The 27,587-nt window shown below is 49.2% G+C and overlaps 1 protein-coding gene and 1 non-coding gene across 2 annotated transcripts, besides 5 other annotated features; both read left to right on the top strand.

Annotated features, from left to right (window-relative positions):
- Positions 76–215: a silencer, noted in NCBI's record as "silent region_8741". NCBI's record gives its function as "represses an Ori minimal core promoter by ATAC-STARR-seq in GM12878 lymphoblastoid cells {active_cell/tissue: GM12878}" and the evidence as "EXISTENCE:reporter gene assay evidence [ECO:0000049][PMID:35858748]".
- Positions 76–776: a biological region, named in NCBI's record as "H3K27ac-H3K4me1 hESC enhancer GRCh37_chr17:54990878-54991548".
- Positions 106–776: an enhancer, noted in NCBI's record as "H3K27ac-H3K4me1 hESC enhancer chr17:54990878-54991548 (GRCh37/hg19 assembly coordinates)". NCBI's record gives its function as "activates a minimal SCP1, AML or CMV promoter by ChIP-STARR-seq in naive H9 embryonic stem cells {active_cell/tissue: H9 hESC(naive)}" and the evidence as "EXISTENCE:reporter gene assay evidence [ECO:0000049][PMID:30033119]".
- TRIM25 (tripartite motif containing 25) lies at positions 244–26,384 on the top strand. The gene is made up of 9 exons (NM_005082.5): positions 244–901; positions 5,730–5,825; positions 9,805–10,038; positions 12,715–12,874; positions 15,113–15,178; positions 18,341–18,367; positions 18,689–18,772; positions 18,852–18,950; positions 22,064–26,384. The coding sequence occupies exons 1-9, from the start codon at positions 305–307 to the stop codon at positions 22,591–22,593; spliced, it is 1,893 nt and encodes a 630-aa protein (NP_005073.2). The 5' UTR covers positions 244–304; the 3' UTR covers positions 22,594–26,384.
- Positions 266–495: an enhancer, noted in NCBI's record as "active region_12420". NCBI's record gives its function as "activates an Ori minimal core promoter by ATAC-STARR-seq in GM12878 lymphoblastoid cells {active_cell/tissue: GM12878}" and the evidence as "EXISTENCE:reporter gene assay evidence [ECO:0000049][PMID:35858748]".
- Positions 2,057–2,106: an enhancer, noted in NCBI's record as "active region_12419". NCBI's record gives its function as "activates an Ori minimal core promoter by ATAC-STARR-seq in GM12878 lymphoblastoid cells {active_cell/tissue: GM12878}" and the evidence as "EXISTENCE:reporter gene assay evidence [ECO:0000049][PMID:35858748]".
- Positions 22,938–23,023, top strand: MIR3614 (microRNA 3614). Its single transcript, NR_037408.1, has one exon. It is a non-coding gene; the product is annotated as a microRNA 3614 (primary transcript).
- Positions 26,385–27,587: the final 1,203 nt, after the last annotated feature.

Here is a 27,587-nt window from a genome sequence, read left to right as displayed (position 1 = left end):
GGTCGCGAGGATGCTCTAAATCCCGGGGGCTAAGGCCGAGCCCGGCGTCCCGCGCCCAGCCCGCGGGAGCTCTTGGGGATCGGAGCGCGGCCGACCTTCGCCAGCTCATGGGCGACTGGGACTGCGGTGCCCGCAGGCTCCCGGGAGTACCTCGCGAGGCCCGCCCAGTCCTCGCCGCCCGCCCCCCCGCACCCCACGTGACTTCCTGACGGCTTCAGGGACTGCTCCTCTCGAGCTAGGTTTCGTTTCCTCGGCGGCCTCGGAGCGCGGGTGCAGCAGTTGTGTCCCGACCCCTGGGAGCGCCATGGCAGAGCTGTGCCCCCTGGCCGAGGAGCTGTCGTGCTCCATCTGCCTGGAGCCCTTCAAGGAGCCGGTCACCACTCCGTGCGGCCACAACTTCTGCGGGTCGTGCCTGAATGAGACGTGGGCAGTCCAGGGCTCGCCATACCTGTGCCCGCAGTGCCGCGCCGTCTACCAGGCGCGACCGCAGCTGCACAAGAACACGGTGCTGTGCAACGTGGTGGAGCAGTTCCTGCAGGCCGACCTGGCCCGGGAGCCACCCGCCGACGTCTGGACGCCGCCCGCCCGCGCCTCTGCACCCAGCCCGAATGCCCAGGTGGCCTGCGACCACTGCCTGAAGGAGGCCGCCGTGAAGACGTGCTTGGTGTGCATGGCCTCCTTCTGTCAGGAGCACCTGCAGCCGCACTTCGACAGCCCCGCCTTCCAGGACCACCCGCTGCAGCCGCCCGTTCGCGACCTGTTGCGCCGCAAATGTTCCCAGCACAATCGGCTGCGGGAATTTTTCTGCCCCGAGCACAGCGAGTGCATCTGCCACATCTGCCTGGTGGAGCATAAGACCTGCTCTCCCGCGTCCCTGAGCCAGGCCAGCGCCGACCTGGAGGTAGGGAACGGCCTGCTGGGTGCAGAGGGCAGCCTGGCCTGATGGGTGGTGCAGAGGGGCCACCGGGGGCCTCTCTGCCACACTCTGGACGCCCTGGGGAGATGGGCCTGAATTCGAGGCCGGGGCATCTCCAATGTCAGAGTAGAAAGGGGATGGGAGATTATATAGTCCCTTCCCATCATCCATGAAGACAGGTTAGGTTGCTTGCCATAATCCTGTCATTGTCTGATGGTGTTTATTTTTATTTTTTTGAGACAGGGTCTCGTCCCTCTCACCCAAGCTGGAGTGCAGTGGCGGAATCACAGCTCACTGCAGCCTCGACTTCCCGGGCTTAAGGGATCCTCCTACCTCAGCCTCAAGAGTAGCTGGGACCACAGCCTCCCAAGTAGCTGGGACCACAGGCTCGCTAATTTTTTGTAGAGATGAGGTTTCGCCATGTTGCCCAGGCTGGTCTCGAATTCCTGAGCTCAAGCGATCTGCCCACCTCGACCTCCTAAAGTGCTAGGAGGTCTTTAAAGGCGTGCACCACTGCGCCCCACCATCTGATGGTGTTTAGTAGAGGGTTTTGAATGTCAACTATGAACGTTGGAGGTTACCTCTGTTCCCTCACGAAGTCCTGGTGGCACCCAGGAGGTGGATATGATTTAGTTTCATTTTACTGTTGAGGATACTGAGGTCCAGAGAAATGAACTTAGCCTGACCTAATGCAGTAAATAGCCACGCAGGCATTGTGACCCGGGTTGGTTCGATTTCATAGTTTGCATTTCTTCCCATGGACCAGCCTCGTATCCAGGTCCGTAGAGTCCGGAGCACCAAACAGTCCAGGAAGCTTGAGGTCATGTAAGCAAAAGCCTTTGGTGGGCCGGAGAGTTCCTGTGATCAGGAAGGGTTGTTATTAGAGGCCTAAGAGGGAGGGTGGGCAGCGTCCCAGTAATCACTGGATCAGAGCCACAGGGAGAGCCAACACTCTTGCACCATAGTGTCCTCCGTCCTGGCCGTGTGACTTTGAGCATGGGGTTTGGCCCCTGGACCTGGGTCCTCACCAGTATAGTGAGGCTGTGGGACTAGGTGGATTCCTAAGGGCCTTTCAGGTCTGCAATGTTTTTAGGTGGTTTGGGGATCATACCTTCCCCTTGTGGCCTCAAAGCAGAGGCTGAAATCAAACCACCTTTTGTTACATCAGCCTAAGATCCAAAGCATGGCCTGATTTCATTTCATTCTCACAGCACCTTCAGGGAGAACAAGACCCGTCTTCGTGTTGTCAGAGGAGACAGTAGCCTGAGCAAGGTCAGAGTTGGGGGTCTGCATCCAGCTTTGTGTAGCATATAAACTTGGCTTTTTTTTTCTTTTCTTTTAGAGACAGGGTCTTGCTATGTTGCCTAGGATGTTCTTGAACTTCCGGCCTCAAGGGATCCTCCCATCTCAGCCTCCTGAGTAGCTGGGACTACAGGTGTGCCACCGTGCCTGGCTCTAAACTTGGCTTTTTTTTTTCTTCTTTTAGAGACAGGATCTTACTCTGTCACCCAGGCTGGAGTACAGTGGGGTGATCATAGCTCACTGTAATCTCAAACTCCTGGGCTCAGGTGATCCACTTGCCTCAGCCTCCTGAGTAGGTAGTACTACAAATGTGAGCCACCACACCTGGCTAAGTTTTAAAAAATTCTTTTGTAAAGATGGGATCTCACTATGTTGCTCAGGCTGGTCTTGAACTCCTGGCCTCAATCCTTCTCCCATCTTAGCCTCCTGAGTAGCTGGAACTACAGGTGTGCTACCATGGGGCCTGGCTATAAAATCAGAATTTTTTTTTTTTTTTGAGTTGGAGTCTTGTTCTGTCGCCAGGCTGGAGTGCAGTGGTGCGGTCTCGGCTCACTGCAACCTCCACCTCCCGAGTTCAAGCGATTCTCCTGCCTCAACCTCCCGAGCAGCTGGGACTACAGGCCTGCGCCACCATGCCCAGCTAATTTTTGTATTTTTAGTAGAGACTGAGTTTCACCATGTTGGCCAGGCTGGTCTCGAATTCCTGCCCTTGTGATCCACCCGCCTCGGCCTCCCAAAGTGCTGGGATTACAAGCGTGAGCCACCACGCCCGGCCCATATATATATATTTTTTAATCTTTTCTTTTAGAGACAGGTTTTCACTCAGTCACCCAGGCTGGACTACAGTAGCATGATCATAGCTCACTATAACCTTAAACCCTGGACTCAGGTGATCCTCCTGCCTCAGCCTCCTGAGTAGCTAGGACTACAAGCACGCACCACCACACCCAGCTAATATTTTAAAACATTTTTTGTAGAGACGGGATCTCACTATGTTGTCCAGGCTGGTCTTGAACTCCCAACCTCAAGGGATCCTCCCACTTCAGCCTCCTGAAGTGCTGGGATTACAGGCGTGAGCCAGGAGCCTGGCCTAAACTCTGCTGTTTAATCCTAACAACAGGCCTTCCTCTGCCAACACCTACCCCCCTGTCCTGACTTGCTGAGTCCTATAACAGGTCTGCTTTTTGAGCCCTGCTACTGCTGCTCATCACTGTTGGCAGAGCCAGTCTCAGCTGGGCAATGCCCTTAGCCTCGGGGGCTGGGTTGCCTTGGCCACTGGTGGGGTCGGACTTGAGACTCTGGTGCCTCCCATGTGGAAGACCCAAGTCTCTAGTCTGTGAAGGGATCCTCAGGATTTCAAAAAGTCCTTTGCCTTTGATTAGGGGATTATTGCTGCTACCAAAGTTTTTGGGTCACTTTCCTTTGGTCTGGAGTCGTGTGGGCACCATTCATGATGAGGGTACTGCCGCATGTGTTTGATTAATGGTGTATCAAATCTTTCAAAATATAGGGCTCAGGGTGTAGTGCTATGAGCAGCTCTTGAAAGTGAAGCAGTTGGCAGCCTTGGGGTGTTCTGAGGTCTCTTCTTGCTCTGAGGCCAGCAAGGCCGGATGTATGTAGGCCTGGTCTTTGGCCCACACCTTATCTTGGCCACTGTTAGAGGCCAGGTCGAAGGGCAGTGTCACAGAGGTCAAGTTTGAAACATCATGAGCAGCTTGGGCTTTTCGGATTGAGTTAGTGTGGCCTTGGTCCCTGCCTCCAACCCCTACATGTGACTGTCACTGGGTTGTTCAAATCTAGATTCAAGATCAGGTTCCGCCCAGAATATCTTGGGTGGAGTTGAAGAGTCTGGGAAGTGGAAGAGAGAGCCAGAGTATGTTGAGCCTGCTAGTTACGGGAAGGAAATTTTTTTTTTCTAGAAATCTCCAGCATGCTCAGTTTGGGCATGTGTCTATGATTTTAATATCGGGATCTTAGCTGTGCCAGTTACTAGTAGTGTAGCTGGGGCAAGTCACTTAATTGTTCTGTGCCTCAGTGTCCTTGTCTGTAAAGGCTGGGTAATTCCTACCTCATAGTGTTGTTCTTAGCTTTAAGTAAGTTAATACAGGTAAAGCACTAGAACAGTGCCTGGCATACAGTAAGTGCATAATAAATACTGGCTGCTGCTGTTATGGTGGTGGTGATTTTCCTTCCCATTTCTGTGCAGTATTCATCTGAGCAGGGAGGTAGGAGACTCAGATATTGATTATGAAAATTAATTGAAATCAGATGAGGATATTAGCTTCCTTCATATACAGTTTGCCTTTGTTTCTGGAGGTGGCTAGGACTGAGCAGATTTGCACCTGGGCTTCAGCCCCTGTGAGCTACTTCATCTTTTTTTTTTTTTTTTTGAGACAGGGTCTCACTTTGTCACCCAGGCTGGAGTGCAGTGATGCCATCTCAGCTCACTGCAGGCTCAACCTCCCGGAATCAAGCGATCCTCCTGCCTCAGCCCCCTAAGTAGCTGGGACTACAGGTGTGCACCACCACACCTGGCTAATTTTTGTATTTTTAGTAGAGACAGGGTTTTGCCATGTTGCCCAAGCTGGTCTCGAACTCCTGAGAGCAAATGATCCACCTGCCTGGGCCTCCTAAAGTGCTAGGATTACAGGCATGAGCCACTGCGCCTGGCTGGCTGATTCATCTTATTCCCAGCCCTTGGTGGTCCCAGTCTGCAGTGAGCCTTGGACTCTGATTTCTGTCTCCCTGCCCTGTGAGGCTGACAAAGGCTCCCAGCCTTGTTCTGGGATTGGCAGATGCCTCTGGAGAGAACATCCTAGATATCAGGCTTATCTCTCTGGGCCCCCTTCCCCCTTCTCCTGGACCTTGACTTCTTAATCCTCTGCTTGATTGGCTCTCCAGCATCTTTTAGCAGATCTCCCCGCTGCCCCATTATTTGGACTGCTTTCCTGGCTGTTTGCAGTGGGAGGATTGGTCTGAGTGGCCCCACCTGCCATTACCGAAGCAGCTGTCCCAGCTCGTTCTGTTCCTGTGTGAGCTTGGCCACCTTTCTGTCCTCCTTGCTTGAGTTTCATTGGCTGTAAAATGGGTAATTAGAGAAAAACTCATAATAATATAAGCTGGCATTTAGTATGTTTTTCCTAAGATCCAGGCATTGGGCTGAGTACTTACATTGTTTCAATTAATCCTCCCAATAGCCCTGTGAGCTGGGGACAGTTGTATCTATTTTGTGTCCAAGAAAACTGAGGTGAAGGACACAGTTGCACAGCTGGGAGTTGGGACTGGAACCCTGGTCTGTACTGTCCTCTGAAAAGGATGAAGGGAAGTAGTAAGTATTAGAATGCTTCAAAAAGCTCCAAGCAGGCAAGACTCGGGTGACAGGACTTGGGGTGGCAAGACTTGGGTGGAGTGGAAGAGGAAGGAATCTATCCTGTGGGATAGTTCCAGGGATGGCTTCTGGTGGGGCTGGGCTGAAGAGGTGCATTCTCAACCTCATTTGTTTTCCCTGCAGGCCACCCTGAGGCACAAACTAACTGTCATGTACAGTCAGATCAACGGGGCGTCGAGAGCACTGGATGATGTGAGAAACAGGCAGCAGGATGTGCGGGTGAGTGGCAGGGCTCTCCAAGGCCAGCCCTGCCCTGTGGCTTCGCTCAGCTTCCACGCGGGATGGGCGTGGCTCTGACCATGACAAGGCTGGTGTTGGGTGCACTCACAGTGTCAGGATGAAACATCAACCTTGCAAAGCATGCAGACAGCTGTGTGTCTGAGAGAGATCCTTTGCAAACCCAAACCAAAAATTACCTATAAGCCCAACTGTGGGGGAAATCATTATAAATTAGGATTAAAAAGTAGTAATTCAGAAAAATGGTTATGATATAAAGTGGGAGAAAAAGAGGAAGCAAAAGTATATAGCTCATAGGGTTGCATCTATTTACAAAAAGGAAGTATATTAGTTTCATAGGGCTACTGTGACAAATTGCCAGAAACTTGGTGGCTTACAACAACAGAAATGTATTCTGGCAGAGTTCTGGAGGCCAGAAGTCCAAAATCAAGATGTTGGCGTGGCCACACTCCCGAAGTCTCTAGGGGAGAACCCTTCTTTGCTTCTTACAGTTTCTGGTGGCTCAGGCATTCCTTGGCTTTTGACTGCATCACTCTGATCTCTGCCTCTGTCTTCACATACCTGTCTCTTCTTCCCTTAGTGTCTTCCATCTCCAATAAGAACCCTTGTCATTGGATTTAGGGAGCACCTAGGTAATCTATGATGATCGAATCTCAAGATCTTTAATTGCATCTGCAAAGACCTCTTTCCTAAGTAAGATTACAGTCACAGGTTCTGGTATATGGACATGTCTTTTGGGGGCCCAGCATTCAACCCATTACAGAGAGCATGGAAAGAAACTGAAAGGGAATATTATAGAAGGATCATAGTGGAAGTGTTGGAGTGGTAAATTAGGAATGGTTTTGTTCCCCCTGTTTTTCAGATTTTCGATACGTTTAAATTGCTTTTAAATGGAAAGATCAGATTTTTACCCTTTTTCAGAGCTGCAGCACCAGTTTTATTGCAGCAGTTATGGTTTCATTAGATGAGATCTAGGTTAGAATACCAGCTCTGTCACATACTAGTTTATGTTGCTTTGGTCATGTTGACAGATCTTTGAACCTTCGTTTCCCAATTTGCACAATGGAATCACAAGTTCTTTCTGAAGATGACTGTGAGACAAATGAAAGAATGCACGTGAAAGTACCTGTATTTGTTAGAGGGCAGGCTATACTGCTGTAACAAAGATACACCAGAATTCAGAGGCTTAAATATGATTGAAGTTTATTTTACCAACTGACAGTCCAAACCCACACATGAGTAACCCAGACTAAGGGTTCATGTGATCATTCAGGGATTAAGGGTTCTCCCTTCTTATTACCCTACTATTCCACAAGGTATTGTCCCAGCCTCTTTGGTTGAAGCTGGGTTACCATTACATCTTTGTTCTAGCCTGTGACAAAGGGACAAAAAGGAGGTGGAGGACAACAAGCAATTTTCCTTTACACAAGTGACACAGTGTTGCACATATCACTCCTGGGCATGGGTCACTGGAAGGAGTTTTGTCACATCGCCTAGTCTAGCTGCAGGGGAGGCTGGGAAATGTAGTCTGAGTAGCCACACGCCCAGATGAAACTCCAGGGATGTTCTCTTACCAAAAGGAAAAAAGGGAAAATGAACACTGGGGGACACTTGTAGTCACATTAGAAGTTGCACAGTGAAAGATTGGCAAAGAAGGCTGGGCGCAATGGCTCACGCCTGTAATCCCAGCACTTTGGGAGGCCGAGACGCATGGATCACCTGAGGTCAGCAGTTCAAGACCAGCCTGGCCAACATGGCGAAACCCCATCTCTACTAAAAATACAAAAAATTAGCCGGGCGTGGTGGTGCATGCCTATAGTTCCAGCTACTCAGGAGGCTGAGGTAGGATAATTACTTGAACCCGGGAGGCAGAGGTTGCAGTGAGCCGAGGTCATGTCATTGCACTTCAGCCTGGGTGACAAGAGTGAAACTTCATCTCAAAAAAAAAAAATATTGGCGAAGAAATACTTGAATTCCTCTTTTCCAGTCTACTGTCCTTCTTGTGTGTTTTTCTCTTTGTTATGTTTGATTCTGAGCTATTGTCTTAGTCTGTTTTCTGCTGCTATAACGGAATACCACAGACTGGGTATTTGCAAAGAAGAGAAGTTTATTTGGCTCAAAGTTCTGGAGCCTGAGAGGTCCAAGAGCATGCTTCCAGCATCTGGTGAGGATCATCCATAGCGGAAGGATGGAAGGCAGGAGAGCGGGACAGGAAGAAGGAGGTCAAACCCTGTGATAAGAATATGAATCCATTCATGAGGGCAGAGCCCTCGTGATCTAATCACCTCAGTGGCAATTAAATCTCAGCATGAGCTTTGGAGGAGACATTCAAACCATAGCAGCTATTGAGGCTACCCAAGATGTGAAACAAAATTGCAGCTACTAAAGCAGTGCTGTCCAGCAGAAATACAGTAGGAGTGCAGATGTCATTTTAAGTTAATTTGAATAGTACATGAGATTTATTGTATTTTATTTATCTATCTTTTTTAGGACAGGTCTCACTCTATCACCCAGGCTGGAGTGCAGTGGAACAATCATAGCTCACTGCAGCTTTGAACTCCTGGGCTCAAGTAATCTTCCTGACTGAGCCTACTCCCCTTCACCACCCCCACTCTCCAGGAATACAGTCCATCTAATTTTTTTATTTTTATTTTTGTAGAGAAACAGTCTGTCTATGTTGCCCAGGCTGGTCTTGAACTCCTGGCCTCAAGCGATCCTCCTGCCTCGGTCTCCCAAGGTGCTGGGATTATGAGCATGAATCACTGCACTTGACTGAGATTAATTTTAATATTATAGTTTATTTAATTTGGTATATCTTAAATATTATTCTTTCAACATATCATCAATTTAAAAGTTTTAAGATATTTTACATTCCTTTTTTTGGTGTGAAACCCTTGAAAGCCAGTATGTATTTTACACTCATGGCAAGTCTCAGTTTGGACTAACCACATTTCAAGTGCTCAGTAGCCACATGTAGCAAGTGGCTATGTTATTGGAAAGTACAATCCTAGAGCATGATATTCTCTAGAAATTTTCCAGAGCTGCATCCTGACTTTTTGTTTTGTTTTATTTTATTTTATTTTTTTGAGATAGCGTCTCGCTGTGTCTCCCAGGCTGGAGTGCAGTGGCACGATCTCGGCTCACTGTAACCTCTGCCTCCTGGGTTCAAGCGATTCTCCTCCCTCAGCCTCCTGAGTAGCTGGGACTACAGGTGCGCGCTGCCACAACCAGCTAATTTTTGTATTTTTAGTAGAGATGGGGTTTCACCATGTTGGCCAGAATGGTCTTGATCTCTTGCTGACTTTTATTTTTAAAAATTGCCCATGAACCACCTTTAGCTTAAGAAATAAAATATCATCGATGCAGCCCCTCCCATCTGTTTCTCCCTTATTCTATCCCTCTTCCTCTCTTCCAGAAGTAACCACTCTCCTGAATTTATTTATTCATTCCCATGCGTTTCTTTGTGCATATAGCCATTCTGTTTGTTTCTAAGCTTTATTGAAAGAGCATCATATGGTGGATCTTCTTCTGCAAGTTGTTTTTCTCTCATGGAGATTTATCCAGGCATAGCTCCAGTTTATTAATTTTCATAACTGTTTAATATTCCATCCTATGAATAGCTCCCAGTCTTTGCTTCAAGTCTTCTTCTGATGGATGTTCAGGTTGATTCCAGGTTTTTGCTACTTCAGACAATGCTGCCTGTGAACATTCTTATGCATGTCTCAGGGGCAGGTGGCTGCAATTTTTTGTAGCACATATTCCTAGGACTGGAGTTGCCGAGTCATAGCCTATGAGCACCTCCAAATTTATTAGATATTGCCAAGTTGCTCCCCACAGTGGTTTGTTCTCCCACAAAGTACAGGTAAGAGTTCCTGGAACTCCACATCTCACCCATGCTTGGGGCTGCAGCCTTAGCACTTTTGCCCCTTTGACGGGCATCCTCTTACCTTGGCCCTCTCAGATGACTGCAAACAGAAAGGTGGAGCAGCTACAACAAGAATACACGGAAATGAAGGCTCTCTTGGACGCCTCAGAGACCACCTCGACAAGGAAGATAAAGGAAGAGGAGAAGAGGGTCAACAGCAAGTTTGACACCATTTATCAGATTCTCCTCAAGAAGAAGAGTGAGATCCAGACCTTGAAGGAGGAGATTGAACAGAGCCTGACCAAGAGGGATGAGTTCGAGTTTCTGGAGGTAGGTCGCCACAAGGCATTGTTGAATGTTTTTTTTTTTTTTTTGCCTGATGTCATGCTGTTGATGATAGGGCCCTCAAGGAGCGGGAGACTGGAAGAGGTCACTGGAAGCATCCCTGAGACACACGCTGTATTAGTTTTCTGAGCTGGGCAACAACTTACCACAAATGTAGGGGCTTCAAAAAACACATATTTATTCTCTCAGAGTTTCTCTGGCTCAGGAATCTGGACATGGCTTTATGGGTGGCCTGCATAGGGTCTCACCAGGCTACAGTCTGCGAGGGATGGCCAGGCTGTTTCCTTTGGAGCTCAGGGTTGTCTTCCAGGCTCATGTGGTTGTTGGCAGAATTTAGTTCCTTATGGTTGTAGGACTGAGGCCCCCCGCAATTTCCTGCTGGCTGTCTCTCAGATTGATAGCTGACTTCTTCAAGGCCAGCATGAGAATTTCTCCTCTAGAAAGATGCAATCCCTCTTTTAAGGTCTTTTACCTGATTAAGTCAGGCCCACCCCAGATAATTGCCCTTTGATGAACTCAAAATCAATTGATTTGAGATGCTAATTACACCAGCAATATTCCACCCCCTTTGCCACATGACATAACCTAATCACAGGAGTGATATCCTATTTCATTCACCGTCCTGCCGATACTGAAGGGGAGGGCATACTATAGGGTATGTACATCAGTCGGGGTCGGGGGCTTGAGGGCCATCTTAGAACGTTGCCTGCCACTCACACTCCACCTCTTCCTCCCATCCTTCCTCCAGCAGCTCCTGGAAGTGTGTGTTAGTAGTCCCTTTTGCATTGCTATAAAGGAGTACCTAAGACTGAGTTATTTATTTATTTTATGTATTTATTTTGAGATGGAGTTTCACTCTTGTTGCTCAGGCTGGAGTGTAGTGGTGTGATCTTGCTCACTGAAACCTCTGCCCCCAGGCTCAAGTGATCCTCCTGCCTCAGCCTCCTGAGTAGCTGGGATTACAGGCGCACGCCACCATGCCCAGCTAATTTTGTATTTTTAGTAGAGACGAGATTTCACCATGTTGGCCAGGCTGGTCTCGAACTCCTGACCTCAGGTGATCCACCCACCTCGGCCTCCCAAAGTGCTGAGATTACAGGTGTGAGCCACTGCGCCCAACCAGACTGAGTAATTTATAAAGAAAAGAGGTTTATTTGGCTCACAGTTCTACAGGTTGTACAAGCATGGCACCAGCATCTGTTTGGCTTTTAGTTAGGCCTTTGGTGAGGAAGGAAGCTTTTACTCATGGCAGAAGGTGAAGCTGGGAGCAGGCATGTCACAGGGTTAGAGAGGGAACAAGAGACAGAGGAGGAAGTGCCAGCCTCCGTTAAACAACCAGTTTGTGCAAGAACTCACCTGTTACCATGGGGAGGGCACCAAGCGGTGCATGGGGAATCCACCCCCACGACACGAACACCTCCCACCCTGCCCCACCTCCAACACTGGGAATCACATTCCAACATGAGATTTGGAGGGGACAAACATCCAGACTGTATCAAAGTATCTGTCTAAAGCATGGGCCCCCTGCTGTTTCTGGCCTCATGTCCCTTAACATGGCCTGCAGGGTCCTAGGTGACTGGGCCCCGCCTGTGCCAGCAGTCTCATCTCATATCATCCATCCCTGGCTCATGCCCTATGCACTCACTGTTCCCCAGACACAGTGGGTGTGGGTGGGATGCCATGCTGGGCATTCTTGCCTAGTGAGTCGTATCCTTCCAGGGCCTTGGATCCCATTGCCATGCCGTATCGGTGTTCCCAAGCATGCCACACTGTTTCTACAGTAACATTGGGTGATGTTGTTTCAGATGTGCATTTTTTCATGGCTGTTTTGACTGTAAGCCCATCTCTTATTACCCCCATTCATCCTCCTGCCAATCTGACCAGCACATAGCAGAGTGCTTGGCATATAGTGGTGTGCCCCATTGATTGAGTGACCTGCAGCTATACCTGAAAGACCCAGATTCCTTGTTCAGATCAGGGGGTGGGGAGACAGTGCAGGAGTGAATGGGAACCTTGTCTCTGTGCACTGAGGCCTGATGCGTGCCTAGTCTGGATGGCGTTAAGTTTCATCCCAAGTGTTCATTCCTGTCTGTTGGAGCAGCTGCCCCGAGCTCTCGAAGGATCTGAGTGCACATCTAGGCTTCTTGATACTGTACAACCCTATTTTTCTCAAAGTTTGGGACTTCCAGGAAGACCCTCCCTTCCCATAAGATATTCCCTGGCTGCAATCCACATCCCTTGAGATGTCCCTGTCTGTTACCAGAATGTGTGATTAGAGCTGTTCCCCTAGGATTGGGGTGGTCCTGAGTTTCCTGTGCTTTTCCACCTTTAGCTGGAAAAGTGGAAAGAACATTGTCCTGGGGGATCGGAAGATCTCAGTCCCAGCTGTGTCTGTGCCCCTAGCTGGTGGAGTTCCTGCCATGTCTAGACCTCAGTTTCCCCATCTGTAAGATGAGTGACCTCTGGGGTCCCCTCCAGCTCCAGATTACTGTGTCTTCAAGTGTCATTTAAACTCCTGGTGACCTCTGGCCTGTAATTTGAGAAGGCCAATTGGACTTAGCACTCTTGGGCATAGGGGAGAGCCTCCTGGGGTTGGTGAGGACTGAGCCCAGGTCCCCGTTTCACCAGAGCTGCCTGCACTAACCCCCTGGCATGTTCCAGAAAGCATCAAAACTGCGAGGAATCTCAACAAAGCCAGTCTACATCCCCGAGGTGGAACTGAACCACAAGCTGATAAAAGGCATCCACCAGAGCACCATAGACCTCAAAAACGAGCTGAAGCAGTGCATCGGGCGGCTCCAGGAGCCCACCCCCAGTTCAGGTGACCTTAGCAGCCCCCTATGCTGCCCCCTGTGGAACCCTGCAACCCGATGGGTCCCCTAAATGTTTTGGGATGGGAGATTGGGGCGTGATCCCGAGCACTGGGGCCTGAGTTTCAGGGCTCCTGAAACATCCGCCCTCTGTCTGGAGGCTGGTGGGGAGTCTGCTTCATCCTGACATTTTAGGATCTTTCCTAAAGCATTTTTGGGGACTTGATGTTAATGCTTGGACTTTCTGGACAGATAGGCTCTTTTGGCCTGTGATCTTGAGGCCAACTTGGATGGGTTTTGAATAAGCTAGGGCTTGTTATTGTGTTTGGTGGGGGAATGGCCCGTTTGGGGGAGAAATCTAGAATTCCTCTTTGACACCCCCTTTTCATCACCCCATATCCAATCCATTGCCAAATTTCACTTCTTTCAATCTCCTGACTCAGTCTGCTGATCCTAGCACTGCTTGCCTGTTCTCCATTGCCATCACCTGTCGCCCCATGACTGTAGCAGCTTCCTAAACCCTCTGCATCTGCCGCTGCAGCCAGAGAGGGATTTTCATGATGCAGAGCTCATGTCCTGGGACCTATTCTGCTTTGCCCTCTCACTAGGCTTCCTATTACTCCCTGATGCAGACCAAACCCTTGACCCTGGTCTAGATGCCAGGTCAAGCCCTGTTGGTCTCTCTCCAGCCCCAAGGCGCCCCCCACTCTCCTCTGGTGCATCTCTCTGCATTCAGTTCCTCAAATATGCAAAACTTCCTGCTACAGGGCCTTTGTGTTTGCTCTTCCCCACTCTCCAGAAGGCTTGAACTCCACCGTCTTCACTAATTAACTCCTCTCACCCTTCAAAGATCAGCAAAACATTACATTTATAGCCAGCCTCCCCTGCCACTGCTCCCACTCCTCAGACTGGGCCCAGGGTCCTTGTCATCCTCTTGGGACTCTTGCATGGGTAGTATCGCATTCTTCCTTGGGATCCCCGTATATCTCCCTCATTAGGTTGTGATCTCTGTGAGGTCAGGGGCTGCGGCTTATTTATTTATTTATTCAGGATCTTGCTCTGTCGCCCAGGCCGGAATGCAATGGCGTGATTATAGTTCACTGTAACCTCAAACTCCTGGGATTAAGTGATCCCTCTGCCTCAGCCTCCCGACTAGCTAGGACTATAGATACACACCATCATGCCCGGCTAATTAAAAAAAAATTTTTTTTTTTTTGAGACGGAGTCTCGCTCTGTCACCCAGGCTGGAGTGCAATGGCCCAATCTCTGCTCACTGCAACCTCTGCCACCCAGGTTCAAGCATTTCTCCTGCCTCAGCCTCCTGAGTAGCTGGGATTACAGGCATGTGCCACCACACCTGGCTAATTTTTGTATTTTTAATAGAGACATGGTTTCACTACTTTGGTCAGGCTAGTCTTGAACTCTCGACCTCAAGTAATCTGCCTGCCTCAGCCTCCCAAAATGCTGGGATTACAGGCGTGAGCCACCGGGCCCAGCCTAAAAAATTTTTTTTGTAGAGCCAGGGTCTCGCTAAGTTGTCCAGACTGATCTTGAGCTCCTGGCTTCAAGTGATGCTCCTGCCTTGGCCTCCCAAATCATTGGGATTACAGGCTTGAGCCACTGTGCCTGGCCTGTCTGATTTTTCTTCAACGCTATTTCCCTAGTGCCTAGCACAGAGCCTGGCCCATAGTAAATCTCTGTTGTGTAGTCCAAGATTGGGCTTGAATCTCAGCTTGGCCTGCCGAGTGTCCTTGCAGAAGGGCTTCTGAAATCGGTGGCGGTGCAGCCCCATTGTGGAAGTGCTGCGTGGGGGCAAAGCTATAGGTGGCTGGTATGTGGGAGGAGGGGAGAGAAAGAATAGTGGGAAAGGAACAAGTGTTGACCCAGCCTCCGCTACATGACCTTGATCTCATTCAGGAGTCACATCAACCATGAGCAAGGTGAAGTCATCCCCATTGTGTGCTCGAAGAAACCAAAGCTCAGAGAAGTCTCAGAGGCCACAGAGCTGGGTGCTGGTGGAAAAAAGACTTGGCCCTTGCTACATTTTAAAAAGTCAGAGAAAAAAGGGAATACACCAAACTGGTTCTTAGATCACCTTGTTTGTAGCTCTTGTAAGCGATGGGATGGGGAAGGTCGGAGGAAATGGCTGTCTGTGTAAACCCTCTGCCTGCCCACCGACCCATGGCAAAGCTGGCTGCTAGGGTCAGTGAGAGGAGCCGCACACACTGAGCCCTTCTTCTCTGACACAGGTGACCCTGGAGAGCATGACCCAGCGTCCACACACAAATCCACACGCCCTGTGAAGAAGGTCTCCAGTAAGTAGCCCCACCCCTGTCTCCATGGCAACAGCATGGCTGTGGCCTCCCCAGGCTCTGGCCAAGTCACTTCCGGCCCATCCCGAGTCACTGTGGGGCCTGGACCTCAGTGGGAAAGAAGTTGGTGGCAGTCCCCACTGCGGGGGGCTGTAGGGCTGTGGCAGAAGCTCCGCTGTCCATCAGCATTGCACGTTTGGGCTGCCTGGAACAGCAAGATGCCTGAGGCTGGCTTGTTTTGAGAAATATTTACTATACCCAAGTCCTTGGGCAGAGCCTTGGGCAAGGAGACTGATGGCGGTCCAGGAAGGGTGGAGGCTAAACCTCCTTGGCATCTCAGCAGTGTTAAGTCTCTGGGTTGTAATGGGCTTCTGCTATTACCATGTTTCTCAACTGTTTTTTTTTTTTTGGTTTCTCACTGTTACCCTCCTCCTGCTCATCCCCAGAACCATTTGAGAAAATTTTTTTCCTAATTACAACCCATGAAATTTTAATACCACCCATCTACTGCATAACTGTTTATGTTTGTGCTTTTACACATAAAAAGAGTAATCTTTTTTACTCCCCCTCCCCCAAGGATCCATTTTTGCCCTCCTAGGGGTACTATCCCCCTCATTGGGCAGGCACCTGCCATTGACATGGGGGTTGAGGAGAAGAGTGGTCCTGTTCTGCAAATGTGGACAATAGTGATATCGAGGCCACAGGATGATTCTGAGTGATGAGGGGACACTGATTGTGAGAGCTCTTTATGAGCCATATACCACTGAGATGTCCATATACCACTGAGATGTCCATATACCACTGAGATGTCCATATACCGCTGACATGTCCATATACCGCTGAGATGTTCATATACTGCTGACATGTCCATATACCGCTGAGATGTCCATATACTGCTGACATGTCCATATACCGCTGACATGTTCATATATCGCTGAGATGTCCATATACCGCTGACATGCCCATATACCGCTGACATGTTCATATACCACTGACATGTCCATATACCACTGAAATGTTAGCTGTCATTGCTTCCCTGAAAAGTTGGTGTGAACCCAGGAGGGCTGGCTGCACACTGCTGGTGTTGGGGGGATGAGAGAGCCAGGGCTTGCTCTTTGTTGTTGTTGCTTGTGCTTAGTGTTCAGGTCACCTGTAGCAGGCAGAGTGTGGTATCGGTCCCCGAATGGAACAGAGTCAGGGCTGGGATGCCTGGTGCAGATGGAGGAGGGAGCCCTTAGCTGGGCCGGAAAACCTCGAAGGGTACTTTGTGTGAAAAGAGGAGTGAAAGAGGAAGTGGAAAGGTACTGTTGACCTGTGTCCTTCCCCAGTCACCTTCCTCTGAAAGCTCCTCCCTTAGTATGAATGAGGTAGGGATGCCGGCCAGCAGGCAGGTGTGTTCCCCAGTGAGGTGAGGTCCTCATGTCACAGCAGAATGACACCCTGGAGAATAAAGTTCGGGAATGAATCAAGGCTCCTCTAGGCTGAAATGGGGAAATAGGGGAGGGGGTATGGAGTAGTCCCAGTGCAGAGAGATGTCTAAGGGTAGGTGATGAGGGAGGTGCCTGTGCCCTAGATTGATGTCACAGCCTGGGCCTCCCAAGATGCTGGTCCACAGGGAGTGGGTGGGAAAGTGGCAGAAGGGGAGGAAATGGGAGAGTGAGCGACTGTGAGTGATGTGACTTCGAAGTAGGAGAAGCGGTAGCAAGGGGGCTTTGTGGTGTGATGGGGGTCTGGGGGAGGGAGAGGGTAATAGGAGAGAGCAGGGCTTATCTGTAATGTCAGGTGTCCTGCAGGTGGGCAGGGATATGATTTCAAAAACGCCCCTTTTTGTTCCAGTGTTGTGGAAGGTGGCAAAGAAGGAAGCTGGGATCTTCTAGCCCACTTGAGTGGACTTTGGACTCACCTGGAGGGCTTGTACATCACAGATTGCTGGGTCTCACCCCCAGCCTTTATGATTCAGTGGCTCTGGCTTGGGGCCCAAGAATTTGCATTTACTATTTTTTAAGAGACAGAGTCTCGCTCTTTTGCCTAGGCTGGAGTGCAGTGGTGCGAACAGAACTCATTGCAGCCTCGAACTCCTGGGCTCAAGTGATCCTCCTACCTTAGCCTCTTGAGGAGTTAGGACTGTAGGCATGTGCCACTAAGCCAGGCTAATTAAAACAATTTTTTTTTTTTTGTAGAGACAGGATATTGATATGTTGTCCAGGCTGATCTTGAACTCCTGGCCTCAAGCAATCCTCCTACCTCAGCCTCCCAAATTGCTGGGATTACAGGAGTAAGCTACAGTGCCTGACCAATAATTTGCATTTCTTAGGGGTTCTCTGGTGATGTCACTGCAGCTGGCTTGGGCACCAGACTTTGAGAACGACTATTTTAGCCAAACTCAGTTCCTGTAGGTAGACACTCCAGATATTTTTAAAAGACTTGGCAAGCATTTTTTTTTTTTTTTGAGACAGGGTCTCATTTTGTTGCTGAGGCTGGAGTGCAGTGGCAAGAACACAGCTCACTGCAGCCTCATCCTCCTGGGCTCAAGCAATTCTTCTGCCTCACCTCCCAAGTAGCTGGGACTACAGGTGTGTGCCACTAGGCCTGGCTAGTTTTTTCTTTTTTTTTTTTTTTGTAATTTTGTAGAGATGGGGTTTCCCCATGTTGCCCATGCTAGTTTCTAACGCTTGAGATCAAGTGGTTCCTGCACCTTGGCCTCCCAAATTGCTGGGATTCCAGGCATGAGCCACCATGCGCCCAGCCCTTGGCAAGCATTTTTTTTTTTCTGATTCCCTATTTGGTTTTTGTGTTTTTTCCTTTATGGAAATATAATTTACCTGCAGTAAATCTCTTTTTTCCCTGCAGTAAATCTTAAATGTGCAGTTAGATCTATTTTGACAAATGCATACATGTGTTACCATTGTTCAAATCAAGATAAAGAATTTCCCTTTCTCCAGAAAATTCCTTCATGCTCCTTATTAGTCAGTCCCCGCCCCCACGACCGCTCATGCTGGTTTCTATCACTATAGATTCATTTTGCCTGCTGACTCCTTCTGTTTTTCAAATTAAAACATCCTTTTATTTGTCTGGGTCAAATTCATGCACATGAATGTTATTATTTTGAAAATGTCATTGTGTTGTGCCTTAAAAGAAATTAAATCTGAAAACTTTCTTTTGCAGAAGAGGAAAAGAAATCCAAGAAACCTCGTAAGTTATGCATTTCTGCAACTGTTCGTTTCTTGAGACTGCCCGAGCACAGAACTAAATGCTGGTAGTGAGAGTCGACCTCTCTCATCAGGGTTCTGTGATGGGTTCTATATGATTCCATTCTGTAATGGCAGCAGGCCTGAGGCTGGAGGGGAGGACAAGCATAAGTGAGATGAATAAGGTGACTTTAGCCTTGTCTGTTTTCCCCTGTGTTGTCCTGCTGTTCAGGCGTGTGTTTGTAGAAGTGGCTCTTAATCAGTGTGGAAGGGAGTAGAGGCCATCCCGTTGCTCTGTATCATATTTCCCTTTCCTTACCCCCAGCCCCTGTCCCTGCCTTACCCAGCAAGCTTCCCACGTTTGGAGCCCCGGAACAGTTAGTGGATTTAAAACAAGCTGGCTTGGAGGGTAAGTTATCATGGGCAAGGAGCTTTGGGGTGTCCACTCTGAGTTTGTTCTGCAAATCACTCTCTGTTTCCTCTCCCAGCTGCAGCCAAAGCCACCAGCTCACATCCGAACTCAACATCTCTCAAGGCCAAGGTGCTGGAGACCTTCCTGGCCAAGTCCAGACCTGAGCTCCTGGAGTGTGAGTAGCTTCGGGGCTGGTGCGCGGTTCCACTGGTTCTGTCTCTCCTGCGCCGCTCTGTGCAGCTCTCTGTGAGGCCAGCTGGCCGGCTATATCAGCCACTCCCCTTCACTTGTCCTCTACTTTGTTGCTCCCTTATTTTCTCCCAGTCATCAGTGCCTTTCTTTACTTTTCCTAACTAGCTCAGATTTCACAATCGGTCCTTTGACTCTCCCTCTTGCCGTCTAGTCTGGCCCAATTGAGCTCACCTTTCTCTGTGGGTCGGCGCCTGCATGTCCTCTGCAGAGAAGGCAGGGCGATTGCGGTCACCGGCCTTCACCGGGCGTCCCGTTGCCGGCATGCCTGCCCTGCATCTCCTGTCTCCTCCCCACCACTCTCCAGAGCCACCATTCCCAAGACTTCCCACTGGCCATAGCTCCATCCTTCTCCCTGTCCCGCCCACCTTCTGCTTCACGAAAAAGACAGACACTGTAGAAGGGGCTCCCCCTGCTCTGTTATTGACATCGCATCTGCATCTACTGTGCCCCCTTCCTCGCCTCCTGGCCCCTTTCCCAAGACCCCCTGGCCCTGGGCTCTGGAGTCTGCTCCCCACACGCTCTCTGGAATCTTCTGCTCTCTCTTAGGCCTTTCCATTCCCATCTCTTCACCCTCAGCATCTCTACCTAGGCTTGCCTATCTGTAGCACGTTTACATCTCTCCAAATCACAAAAACAAACCTAGCAAAACTGTCTCAGCTGCAGCTCTGTTTCCTGCCTCCCTTTCACCCGAATGCTTGTTAAAAATACAAATTACTAGCTGGGTGCGGTGGCTCATGCCTGTAATCCCAGCACTTTGGGAGCCCGAGGCAGGTGGATCACCTGAGGTCAGGAGTTCAAGACCAGCCTGGCCAACATGGCAAAACCCCATCTCTACTAAAAATACAAAAAATTAGCCGGGCGTGGTGGCACATGCCTATAATCCCAGCTACTTGGGAGGCTGAGGCACGAGAATCACTTGAACTTGGGAGGTGGAGGTTGCAGTGAGCCGAGATTGTGCCACTGCACTCCAGTCTGGGCAACAGAGCGAGACTCTGTCTTAAAAAACAAACAAACAAACAAAAAACCCCAAAAACCAAATTCCTGGGCCCTGTTCTAGCCCTACAAGATCAGACTCAGGCAAGCACGGAAAGCTGTATGTTTAGCTCATTTCCTCCATGATCCTTTTGAGGACAGTTGGGGAAAAGCAGCTCTGCAGATTTTCTACATTGGTGGCTCTCAACTGTGGCTGCGTGTTGGAATCCTGGGGAGCTTTTTAAAATCCCCGATGCCCAGGCTGTCCCCCAGACTGGTTCATTCAGAATGTTGGTGTTTGGCTGCCCAGGGTTGCAATGTGGGGCCGAGGTGGGAGCCTGAAGTCTAATCCTCGTGCCACTGCATTCTGACCTCTGTCCTGCCCTTGACCCAGGCAGCTCTGAGGTCATCAGGGTACTCCGTGTCACAAAATCCAGGGACGCCTTTCAGCTTTTATTTAGCTTCACCTGTCAGTGGCATTCCTCCTCCTTCTGACACTCTCTCCCCTTGCCGCTTGAGCTGCTATACCCCCCTGGGTTTCCATCCACCCCTCCTTTGCAAGCTCGTCCAACCTGGAAGTGGGTGGAGTTCCGTTGTCAAGGCCAGGCCTAGGGCCCTCCCACTTTCCGTCTTCTTGTTTCTTCTGCACCCACGTGCAACACTCCAGGCAGCACCTGCCAGTGGTACCCACTTCCATGTGGAGGCCAAAGCCAATCACTGAAAAATATAGCCCTTCCTTTATCATAAGCAGCTGCAGCAGGCTTGGTGGGGATCTGTGGGTCCCTTGCTTTTTCAGGGCTGGCCTTCTTGTAGCCCTCCGCTGTCCCTGCCCCCCAAGAGAGGCCCAGACCAGCCCTGGGCTGCAGCTAACTCTTGCCCAAGCTGCTAGCGGCGGTGCTGAGCCACGTCTTTCAGGAGCTGCTGTGCACTCTGTGGCAGCCGCATAAACAGGGAAAGTAAAATTCTATCAACTTAGGGCCTTTTCCACCCCCAGCTTATTCATTTTGCCTTGGGGGAAACTCGGGCTCCAGTGAAAAGTGTCATGCCCTGAGCCACCTAGCAAATGAGTGCCTCGCTTGGCTCCCTGCTGCCCACCAGTTAAAGTCTAGCCTCCTAAGCCCTTCCCTTTCTAGCCCCAACATGTTTCCCTTCTCCTGCTGCATCTGTGTTCCCAGCCACCCAGCTTCCCCGATCCCAGCACATGCGAATCCCCTTGGCACTCCGTGGCTTCACTCTCACTGTTCCCTCTGTCTGGAACAGCTTTTCTCTCTCTGTTCTCCTCTGTCTAGTTCTCATCTTCTGTTACTTGGCTCCAATTCCAGCCTGCCAGTGAAATGTTCCCCAACTGTAGCATCAGTTGCCTTGTCTCTGTGTCCCTACAGTGTGTGCTTACCCTTTTGGCAGAGTGTGAGTCTCATGGTGTTGTTACTGATGGACTTGCCTTGCTTGTTGGAGTGTGAACTCCATGAGGCCCGGCACCTTGTCTCTCTGGTTCATGGTTGTGCATCTTGTGCCAGAATCTGGTGTCAGTCAGGTGCCTGGTAAATGGTTTTGGATGGATGAATGGACAGACATACGGATGACTGATAGATGATAGATGGCTGGCTGGCTGGACAGAATGGATGGATGAATGGATGGATAGATGAGCTGATGAATAATGGATGGGTGGATAGATGGGTGGATGGATAAATGGACAGATGGATAGATAAGTGGATAGATTAATGAATGAATGAATGGATAAATGGAAAGGCAGAAGGATGGATAGATAAGTGGATAGATGGATGAATGGAAGAATGGATAGATAGGTAGATAGATGGGTATATGGATACATGGGTAGATGGATAGATGGATGGATGGATACATGGATGGATTGATGGATACATGGATAGACAGATAGATGGATGAATAGACAGACAGATGGATAGATGAGTGGATGGATGGACCAATGGGTAGATGGGTGCATGGATGGATAAAACTAGTGAATAAATAGTACCACTTTGGCAAAGGTCTAAAAGAGCACTTTGGGCCCCTTGTAATTAATTCCTTGGGGTGATGTTTTCTCAGATTACATTAAAGTCATCCTGGACTACAACACCGCCCACAACAAAGTGGCTCTGTCAGAGTGCTATACAGTAGCTTCTGTGGCTGAGATGCCTCAGAACTACCGGCCGCATCCCCAGAGGTTCACATACTGCTCTCAGGTGCTGGGCCTGCACTGCTACAAGAAGGGGATCCACTACTGGGAGGTGGAGCTGCAGAAGAACAACTTCTGTGGGGTAGGCATCTGCTACGGAAGCATGAACCGGCAGGGCCCAGAAAGCAGGCTCGGCCGCAACAGCGCCTCCTGGTGCGTGGAGTGGTTCAACACCAAGATCTCTGCCTGGCACAATAACGTGGAGAAAACCCTGCCCTCCACCAAGGCCACGCGGGTGGGCGTGCTTCTCAACTGTGACCACGGCTTTGTCATCTTCTTCGCTGTTGCCGACAAGGTCCACCTGATGTATAAGTTCAGGGTGGACTTTACTGAGGCTTTGTACCCGGCTTTCTGGGTATTTTCTGCTGGTGCCACACTCTCCATCTGCTCCCCCAAGTAGGCAGGCTGTAGGCACTTGGGCTGACTGCCTGCAGAAGTCCCAAGACCCTAGTGAAAATACAGCAGGCAGAACTCTCCTTGGATAATTCCCCAAGAGGTCCCAAGGATTGGGAGCATGGGAGGGGAGCTGGCGGGAGGGTGGGAGGTGGGATTTAGCCAGGAAAGGGGTGAGAGTGATTGTGTTGTGGGCGAGGAGGCGTTTCCACCCCCTGGTGCCTATCAGGGCAGGGTGACCTACTCCCCATTGTTCTGGAAATCTCCAGGCTGCTGGGCAGCTGGGCAGAGCTCTGGGAAGTGAAGTCATGAGTGCCCGATTCCTCTTAGAGAAAATCCATAGCTACTGTAGGTTCTGTCTTGGGCCACTTGGATCTGAAGGCTGCCCCTTTGCTCTCTGGGGTAGCCTTCAGATCTTGGTGTTTTGAATTCTTACTATAGATGTTTTTAAAGTTCCAAAGTCATTGAGTTTCAATGTTACATAAACTCCATTACCCGCATGTTGGGGCTTGATCTCCTGGTTATTATCTGTGCTTGAGGAAACACCCACAGCAGTCTCTACCCAGAACAGTTTCCTAAAGAGGCATACCCTCTTCCTCCACTGGAAAATAGTGCGTTCCCTTCCTACCCTGCACACCCATCGCCCCCACATTGATGGTTTTCAAACAGCAAACTTTTCAGCTAAAGCTTCAAACCATGATTGGAATCAGCCTGTGTTGGATTTGTGATTCAGGGTCATGGTGACCCTGATCCAGTTTGGGTGGAAATCCTTCCTAAGTATCATAAGAAGCATCTTGGCAGAGATGCTTTGGTGGCAGCCATGAGCTTTGCTGGAGGCCTTGCTTCCCATAGCCTTGGCTGTGGGGCAAGGAACTCTGCCAGGCGAGGGGGATGCTGCCCTGGATCAACAGAAGCCTGGTGGGTTTGCTCGTGTTAGAGTGTCCTGCCTTCTTACTGACAACTCTTCTCGGTGATAGCCTCTCTTCCCTGGATTGTGACATATGGAATGACAGTGCAGGTACCACCGAGGCTAGCACAGTCAAGCCTCCAGCTAAGCTGGATCCCTGAAGCCTGCTATCATGCAGACAGGCTATGCGGCTGCCTCGGACCATGCTAGGCCACTTGCTGGGGTGTCAACCTACCACCAAAGGGGTCTTTTAGCAAACCTCATGGGGAACAGGAACATTCCTGTTCATCCCTGGCCACAGGCTGCAGACCCAGCACTGGCCCTTGCGTGAGTCAGAGCCTGGGGCTGGCCCTAGCCCCTTCTACTGACTTCCTCATTTAAGCCAATTATATAAGCTCACATTGATCAGGGAGGGAGGGAAAGAGCTAAAGAGGGTCACACAAGTGGCTATTTTCCCTGCAGTGTTTCTGTGTGGTGAAAATAACCCAGTCCACTAAGGGGCGGGAGTGAATGGATGGCTGGATTTTCCCCAAGCTCCTTATAGCCTAATGTTGTCAGGATGTGAGTATGAGGAATTTAGCCTCTTATAGTGAAATGAGTCCAACTCTGGGCTTTGCTTAGAGGAGAGCTCCTGTCAGGCTTCCTATAATATGAAAAGAAGTCACCATTGGGGAACTAGAGACCCCAGACCTTTTCATATGGATATTTGAGAATGTAATGCATCTCAGGCCTCGTGCTGGAACTCTAGGGCACTCTAGGCAGGCTCAGAACACTTGATATTCCTGACAGCTACACACCTGACATGCAGGTACATACCTGATCGGTGTCATCTCCTAACAAGGATTTTCAGTTCCTCGGGAGAGCAATAATCTTTGTAGGAAAGACATCCCTGCAATAGGTGATATGTGGTCCTTAGAAGTTTTATTCCTTTACTACTTGGAAGAAAAGTTCTTTGGTGATTCTTCTCTGCTTTTGAAGATGATCAAAAGCATCTTCATTGATTTTCTGAAACGAAAGCCTTGTCTGAAACCAATTAATACTTGGGAAACAGCTGGGCTTGGAGGAGTAGAATGCCAGAGATAAATCCATGGCTCCTGCTCTGGCTCTCTTCTGCAGAAATGAGGGCAACAGTGAGGCCACTTCCCTGGCAAATGTGCAGCTCAGGATAGGGAAGCATAAGACCCTCTGTTTAAAAGAGAGTCAAGTAGGTAACCAAAGCCAAGCTCTGTGCAAGGTGCTTTGGAGTTGTAAATTGAGGAGTGCATCCTTGCTGTCTTGAACCATTCTGTTTGCAATGGTGAGACCTTACATAACCTAGCCTTGCAGGGCCGCCACACAACCCTGGAGTCCTAGAGTTGGAGGAACCTTTGTATCCATCTGACTTCTCATTTTGCAGAATATGATGAGAAAGTAGAGGATCGCTCTGTTCACCACTCTTGCTATTCCATTAGTGGGGAGATGCCTGCTAGCATGTGTGAGGGGAACACTCTGATACACTGGGAAGTATCGGAAATTCCCAGAAACACAAACATAAAATAACTCTCCTAGACCCAGGTACTGGGGACTGTCTCAGTCCGTGTGGCATGATAAATAAAAGGTTAGGATCAAGTCTTTGTATTTTTCAAGATGTGGTAGCTGATTATTCCTGTTTTAAGTACTCTGAAATTGATCTGTGATCAATAATACTAATATGTTATCTTTTACCGTATTCTGCCTCTCACTATTGATTTTAATTAGTTAGGAGTATTTGAGCTGTTATTTCTTGAGCTTAATATTTTTTTAGAGTTAACTCTTTAAGGAGATAATCATGGCTGTAGACAAGGCCAGGGCTGGCTGACGTGCCTTAGAAGGTTTGAATGCAATAAAGCGGTGTTTGGCGTTCTCCTGCATTGTAGTGCGGGTACAAAATGCTATTTGTTCGTCATACTGTTGTCAGCAGATGAGCCGCCCACTACAGACGGCTACTGCCCAGGGACCTGCCCAGGCCCCACCCAAGGGCTCCCAAGGGTTGAGATTTCTGCAGACCTATAGCCAGCACACTTAGTCCTGCCCTATATAGAGTTCCTCTTCGGGAAGCTTTTGATAAGGAATTCTCAGACCGATAGGATGTCTGTCTGGGCTTTGCTGCGGGACAGTCTAACTGTGGGGGCTAGGGGAAAGCAGGAGAGTATCGATCAAAGAGTAAGCCACACACGGATAATCAGTTACTAGGGATGGAGGTGTGAGGGTTCATTATATTATTCATTTTACTGTTGTATATGTTTGAAAATGTCTATAATAAAAAGCTTTAAAAAAAAAAAAGAAACAAAAATAGTTCAGGCCAGCAATGGGCCCTCCATGTTCAGTGGATTTTATCCTTGTTTCAATTGGGGTAGGAGTTCCAGGAGGTGTGGATTGGAGGTTGTCTAAAGAATTGAACTGGCCTTTGTCCCTGCTTCCTGGGAGGGAGACTTTCAGTCCTTGACATTTCCAGGGTAATAGGAGTGTCTTTGTTATTTGTGAGGCCATGGGATCACACCTGAGCTTATGCTAAAAGGTGGGATGACTCAGAGCTGGGGCTGGTCACCAGACAGACTGACCATGTGATTAGAGGTTTGAGGCTTTGAGTCAGCCTGACCTATGGGGCGGGGGACTGGAGGCTGAGTTTAATCATCTGGCCAGTGCTTTAATCAGTACATCATGAAACCCTAATAAAAACTCTGGACACTAAAGCTCAGCATAGCTTCCTGGGTGGTGAAGCTGTGGCTATGCCGGCAGGGCAGTGTGCCCTAATTCCACGAAGAGGGGGCATGGGAGCACTGTGCTCAAGACCCTTCCAGACCTTTCCCTGTGTCTTCCTTGGCTTGTGGAGCTGATTTGTATCCTTTATAATAAAACTAATCATAAGTATAGTCCTGAGTTCTGTGATTTTTAGTGAATCATTGAACCTGAGGAAGATCATGGTACCCTCCTGGGATTGTAGGCAGTTGGTCACAAGCGCTGATGGCCTGGGATCCCCACATGGGGCTGGTGTCTGAGGTGAGGGCAGCCCTGTTGGGGACTATGTCCCTTCGCTGGTGGCATCTGATCTAACTCTGCTGGTCGTTGTTAGAATTGTGGTGCGGTACACCAGGTGGTGTCAGAACAGAGGCGGTGGGATCTGCACACCTTGAGTAAGCCCTTCTCGACCAGCCTGTTGGAACAAAACACACTACTCTTCATGGGAGCCTCCTGAGTTTCTTCTCACCTGTGTGAAGTCCCCTTTGTTTACTGTCCTGAGTTTTGTTCTCGCTCATCTCCAACCCCTCTTGTAGTTTTTTCTTCCTCACTGTCACTGTAACCATAAAAATACTCAGTATGTCAGTGATAGACTTGTCTTTCTATTCAGAGATGACTCTTCAACTGTCCGGGGACACTTTTTTCCAATAAAAAGTTCAGGATGGTAATTTGTGACTCCTTACTAAAGGCAAGCTGGGAGTGCGTGTGTGTGTGTGTGTGCACGCATGTGTGGTTTTTAAGTCATTTGTGGTCTGCTGGGGTGACCCATGGGCTAAGTTTGGACTTGCTCATAGGTTTTACATCTGTTTTCTCATCAGTTCCCAGGCAGTCTTGAAATGCCATAGCATCATGAATAACCGAAGGATCTCCAACCGTTATTGACCTTGGAGTTGCAGTCTACCTGTATTTTATTGTAGATCAATTCCAATACATAAAATACAGGAAGACTCTAAAAAAGCAAATCAAAGAGTGAAGGGGAAATGATACATTTAAAAAGCCTATTTTAAAGGGGGCAATTTGGAATAAATGCACACACAAAATGGGTCCTTTTGCTGATGCCTCTGCTGCCTTATTGAGCTGTATGTCCTTATTCCAGGCACATCTCCTTTCTGAGTCTTAACTTTGCCTGCATTAAAGGTTCCATGAGGACCAGATGAAATTTTTGAGGTAAAAATAGGTCGACATTTAAAATATGGTGCATGTGATTACTCTACCTTCTCTACATACCCATACACACACCTGCATTTTGAGGGAAATCTAGTTGGGGGCTGCCTTGGGAACTAGGACACAGCATTATAGCCAAAGGGCCTTTTCTCTTAACCAAGGCATGTTGGCAT

This window comes from Homo sapiens, chromosome 17 (assembly GCF_000001405.40).
Source record: "Homo sapiens chromosome 17, GRCh38.p14 Primary Assembly".
In the NCBI taxonomy this organism is placed as follows: domain Eukaryota; kingdom Metazoa; phylum Chordata; class Mammalia; order Primates; family Hominidae; genus Homo; species Homo sapiens.
Note: the sequence above shows the minus strand (reverse complement) of the source record. Positions and strands in the feature narration are given on the sequence as shown.

Excerpts from the sequence above, each read along its gene's own strand:
- TRIM25 (NM_005082.5), top strand. The coding sequence starts at position 305 with ATGGCAGAGCTGTGCCCCCTGGCCGAGGAGCTGTCGTGCTCCATCTGC. Across the intron at positions 12,875-15,112 it reads GGAGCCCACCCCCAGTTCAG|GTGACCCTGGAGAGCATGAC; the intron begins GTGACCTTAGCA and ends TCTCTGACACAG. Across the intron at positions 18,951-22,063 it reads CAGACCTGAGCTCCTGGAGT|ATTACATTAAAGTCATCCTG; the intron begins GTGAGTAGCTTC and ends ATGTTTTCTCAG.